Below are 5624 nucleotides of genomic sequence, written 5' to 3' on the forward strand. Positions count from 1 at the left end.
ATGGAGAGATGAGGGATGGATGGATGGAGGGATGGATGGATAGATGAAGGGAAGGAGGGAGGGAGGGATGAATGGATGGAAGGATACAGGACACAAGGTCATAGGTTTGACAAATGTCACCTCCTCAGAAGCCTCCCTAACACTCACAGTTTGATAAGTCCCCTGTTTGATTCTCTCCCAGAGCCCAGGTCACTCCAACACTGTCTGGTTTACCTGCCTTCTGCATGGCTTGCCCTCTGTCTCCAATTCCTGGAACAGGTCCCACCACCTGACACCTGACATCTGTCAGGGACACATGAATGTGGAATGGATGGATGGATGCCTGTGAATGAATGTGGGATGAGTGAAAAGTGAGTGAATATGGGATGAATGAATGAGCTAGTGAATGTGTGATGAATGTGTGAGTGAGAGAATGTGGGCTGAGTGAATGTGGGACGAATGAGTGAGTGAATGTGTGATGAATGTGTGAGTAAGTGAATGTGGGCTGAGTGAATGTGGGATGAATGAGTGAGTGAATGTGGGCCGAAAGAATGAGTGAGTGAATGTGGGATGGATGAGTGAGTGAATGTGAGATGAATGGATGAGTGGGTGGGTGAATGTGGGATGAATGGGTGCGTGAATGTGGGATGAATGAATGAATGAGTGAATTTTGGATGAATGAGTGAGTGAATGTGGGATGAATGAATGAGTGAGTGACTGAGCTGAATGGTTGAGTGAATGTGGGATGAATGAATGAGTGAGTGACTGAAATGAATGGGTGAGTGAATGTGGGACGAATGAATGAGTGAGTGAATGTGGGATGAATTAATGAGTGAGTGAATGTGGGCTGAATGAACGAGTGACTGTGTGATGAATGAGGGAATGTGTGTTGAAGGAATGACTGAATGTGAGATGAATGAATGAGTGGGTGAATGTGGGATGAATGAGTGAGTGAATGTGGGATGAATGAATGAATGTGTGATTTGGGATGAATGAATGAGTGAATGTGGGATGAATGAATGAGTGAGTGAATGTGGGATGAATGAGTGAGTGAATGTGGGATGAATGAATGAATACAAAGCCCCCCCACCCCCCAGGTGCTTCAGCAGAACAGTTTCATGGGAAAGGAGATGTCCTGGACCCTGGGCCTCATGAAGCCAACCTTGGGGCTTCAGCTGAGAGTGTTAAAAATAGAGACCGTTAAAAAATTTTTTTTTAAAACAAACGAACGGAAATTCCCTTTATCAAAAGGAGTCACTGTCATTGAATTCAGAAAAGTTACATGTTCAGGAGCTGAGGGCCTTTTCTTGAAAATATAACACACCTCTCTGGGGGCTTCCCTGGGGACAGCCCGGGAGTGAGGCCAGCTGCTCGGGGAAGCTGAGGCTGACATGGGGGTCTGTGTCCAGGGTGGGTGGGGCCTTTGGAAAACAGTCATCCAACAGTCACTAAGAAAGACACTGACAATTCATTCATGGATTTTGCAAATAAACCATGGGCCCCACATAAAGGATTGTTATTTAAGGAAAATGCCCTTGGCCAATTTGTCCTGAGGATTTTTTGGACAAAACAGCATTTGTCAGCGTGGAACTTCTCAACAGGAAATGCAAAAATCCAAATAAATAAATAATTTGGGCTGGGCGTGGTGGCTCACACCTGTAATCCCAGCACTTTGGGAGGCCAAGGCAGGCGGATCACCTGAGGTCAGGAATTCAAGACCAGCCTGGCCAACATAGTGAAATCCTGTCTCTACCAAAAATACAAAAATTAGCTGGGCGTGGTGGCATGCATCTGTAGTCCCAGCTACTCGGGAGGCTGAGGCAGGTCAATTACTTGAACCCGTGAGGCGGAGGTTGCTGTGAGCCGAGATCACGCCAGTGCACTTCAGCCTGGGCGACAGAGCGAGACTCCGTCTCAATAAATAAATAAATAAATAATTTGGAGAAGGTTGTGGGCTCAGGGCTGGCCATGGGAGAGCAAGGAGTGGTAGGTGCGGCTAAGCAGGTGTTCCAAACAAAACACACCCCAAGCGCAGCCCTGATTTTAGAGTTCACAGTTTCTGTCGTGTAAATGCTCCATACTCCTGCTGTGGCCATTTGTAAGCTTCCAGCTAGTTCTCAACTAGCTGCAAAATTCTTGAATATTTAGTAATGGTTTCCACACCTGGGGACCTGGGCAGGGCTGCACCAAGGTGAGGCCTGGGGAAGACCCTCATGCTCCAGCAAGTGCAGCGTTGGCCCCAGGGGTGAGCATACCCCGCGTTTTCCTCCCTGGCTTCCCAGATTGTCTCCCCTCACCCATTCTGGTGGTGGCCAACGTGGCTATTGCCATGGATCACAACCCCTGGCCAGACCATCCCATCCCCCTGGGCCTCTGGCTCCTTTCAGTAAAATCACGGTGGGACCCTGTCTGTCGCCATAAGACTGCTCCCGTGAGGTAACTGTTGGTCACTTCCTTTGGCCTGCCATTTGCACAGCACAATGGTTCTTCTGAGTGAGTATAAGCTGGCTGCATGTTAGATGTACCTGGGTCCCACCCCACTGTCAGAGGTATTTGAACCAGAGTGACTCCATCTTAAATAGGCACTGGGTAGAATGAGGCTGAGACCTACTGGGCTGTATTCCCAGGGTGTCAGGCATTCTAAGTCACAGGATGAGACAGGAGGTCGGCACAAGGTACGGGTCACACAGATCTCACTAATAAAGCACGTTGTGGTAAAGAAGCTGGGTAAAACCCACCAAAACCAAGATGGTGACAAGACTGACCTCTGGTCGTCCTCACTGCTCCTTTTTTTTTTAACATTGAGACGGAGACTTGCTCTGTCACCCAGGCTGGAGTGCAGCGGCGTGATCTCGGCTCACTGCAAGCTTTGCCTCCCGGGTTCACGCCATTCTCCTGCCTCAGCCTCCTGAGTAGCTGGGACTACAGGCGCCCGCCACCACGCCCGGCTAATTTTTTTGTATTTTTAGTAGAGACAGGGTTTCACTGTCTTAGTCAGGATGGTCTTGATCTCCTGACCTTGTGATCCGCCCGCCTCGGCCTCCCAAAGTGCTGGGATTACAGGCGTGAGTCACCTCGCCTTGCCTTTTTTTTTTTTTTTTTTGAGACCTAGTCTCGCTCTGTCACCCAGGCTGGAGTGCAGTGGTGTGATATCAGCTCACTGCAACCTCCGCCTCCTGGGTTCTAGCAATTCCCCTGCCTCAGCCTCCCGAGTAGCTGGGATTACAGGCACACGCCTCCATGCCTGGCTAATTTTTTGTATTTTAGTAGAGGAGACAGGGTTTCACCATGTGGCTGCTCTTTATACGCTGATTATAATGTATTAGCATGCTAAGAGACACTCTCACCAGCACCACGACAGTTTATAAATGCCATGGCAACATCAGGAAGTTACCCTATATTGTCTAAAAAGGGGAGGATGGCCAGATGCAGTGGCTCACGCCTGTAATCCCAACACTTTGAGAGGCTGAGATGGGCAGGTCACTTGAGACCAGGAGTTTGGAGACCAGCCTGGTCAACATGGCAAAAACCCTATCTCTACTAAAAATACAAAAATTAACCAGGTGTGGTGGTGCACATCTGTAATCCCAACTACTTGGGAGGCTGAGACATGAGAATCTTTTGAACCCGGGATTCGGAGGTTGCAATGAGCCGAAATCACATCGCTGCACTCCAGCCTGGGTGACAAAGTGAGACCTGTCTCAAAAAATAAATAAACAAAAAACAAATAAAGGAGGAACCCTCAGTTTCAGGAATTGCCCACCCCTTTCCCGGAAAGCTCATGAATAATTTACCCCTTGTTTAGCATATAATCAATAAATAACCGTAAAAATAGCCAACCAGTAGCCCATACTTCTGCTCTGCCTATGGAGTGGCCATTTTTCTTATTCCTTTACTTTCTTAATAAACTTGCTTTCACTTTATAAAATCGTCCCAAATTCTTTCTGGAAGGAGGTCCAAGTACCGTCTTGGGGTCTGGATTGGGATCCCTTTGTGGTAAAACAACCCTTCCGTAACTGCTGTTAATGGGAAAAAACAGACTCTAGAACATTTTACAGAGGTTTATTCTGAGCCTGTACATGTGACTGTGGCCTGGAGAGAAGCAAACCCAGGAAGCCTTGAGTGAGTCGCCCCGAGGCGGCCGGGTTACAGCTTGACTGAGTGGCCCCGAGGCGGCCGGGTTACAGCCTGAGTGAGTGGCCCCGAGGCGGCCGGGTTACAGCTTGACTGAGTGGCCCCGAGGCGGCCGGGTTACAGCTTGACTGAGTGGCCCCGAGGCGGCCGGGTTACAGTTTGGTTTTACTCATTTCAGGAAGACACAAGTTACAGGCCAAGACATAAATCAGAATGTGGAAGGTGCACACTGATTTGGCCTGAAAGGCAGGAGATCTTGGAGCAGGGTTTACAGGTCATAGGTAGGTTCCACGATTCTTTTTTTTTTTTTTTTTTGAGACTGTGTCTCACTCTGTCGCCCAGGCTGGAGTGCAGTGGTGCGATCTCAGCTCACTGCAACCTCTGCCTCCTGGGTTCAAGTGATTCTCGTGCTTCAGCCTCCCAAGTAGCTGGGATTACAGGCGCCCACCACCATGCCTGGTGAATTTTTGTATTTTTAGTAGAGACGGGGTTTCACCATGTTGGCCAGGCTGGTCTTGACCTCCTGACCTCAAGTGATCCGCCCACCTCGGCCTCCCAAAGTGTTAGGATTACAGGCATCAGCCACTGCACCGGCTGGTTCTGCGATTCTTTAGTTGACGGTTGATTGAAAGCGTGAAGCTTTGTCTACAGAGGTGAAGTCAGCTGGAAGGAAGGCTGGAATTAAGATGAGGGGTGTGGGGGCCGAGGCCCTTGGTTTGCAGATGAAGCCTTGTAGATTGCAGCCCTCAGAGAGAATAGATGGCAAATGTCCCTTTTCAGACCTTAAAGGTGTCAGGCCCTCAGTTAATCTCTCCTAGGTCTGGAAAGTACTAGAAGAGGAAGTCCTGGCTGCATTCGTGGAGATTCTCTATGGGTGCTAGTTTCTCTGAGAAAGGATGGTTCTGTGGGACCCTTTCAAAATATGTCAAAGAAATATATTTTAAGGCAAAATATTCTCATTTCCTTCAGAGTCTGCTATCCGTCACGTGATGCTATACCAGAGTCAGGCTGGAATTTGGTGTCTTATTGCCACATAGAGTGTGTTCCATCCGTCTTAGGATCCTGATTTTAATGTCAGGACTGGCCAGCTGTGCCTCAACTCTGAAAGGGAGGGTTGTGGCTGTAACCAGCAAAGGTCTGGCTGCTCACCGCTTAAAAAGAAGCCACGATGACAAGAGTGGGGCGTGATAGAAAGAGAGTGAGCTGCCGGGCGCGGTGGCTCACACCTGTAATCCCAGCACTTTGGGAGGCCGAGGCGGGCAGATCACGATGTCAGGAGATCGACACCATCCTGGCTAACACGGTGAAACCCCGTCTCTACTAAAAATACAAAAAATTAGCCGGGCGCGGTGGCGGGCGCCTGTAGTCCCAGCTACTCAGGAGGCTGAGGCAGAAGAATGGTGTGAACCCGGGAGGCGGAGCTTGCAGTGAGCCGAGATCACGCCACTACACTCCAGCCGGGGTGACAGAGCGAGACTCCGTCTCAAAAAAAAAAAGAAAAGAAAGAAAAA

General features: G+C 49.2%; 1 annotated feature.

The window, feature by feature from the left end:
* Positions 2122-2621: an enhancer, noted in NCBI's record as "H3K4me1 hESC enhancer chr21:45633361-45633860 (GRCh37/hg19 assembly coordinates)". NCBI's record gives its function as "activates a minimal SCP1, AML or CMV promoter by ChIP-STARR-seq in naive H9 embryonic stem cells {active_cell/tissue: H9 hESC(naive)}" and the evidence as "EXISTENCE:reporter gene assay evidence [ECO:0000049][PMID:30033119]".

The sequence above is a fragment of the Homo sapiens genome, chromosome 21 (genome assembly GCF_000001405.40).
Source record: "Homo sapiens chromosome 21, GRCh38.p14 Primary Assembly".
NCBI classification, from domain to species: Eukaryota; Metazoa; Chordata; class Mammalia; order Primates; family Hominidae; genus Homo; species Homo sapiens.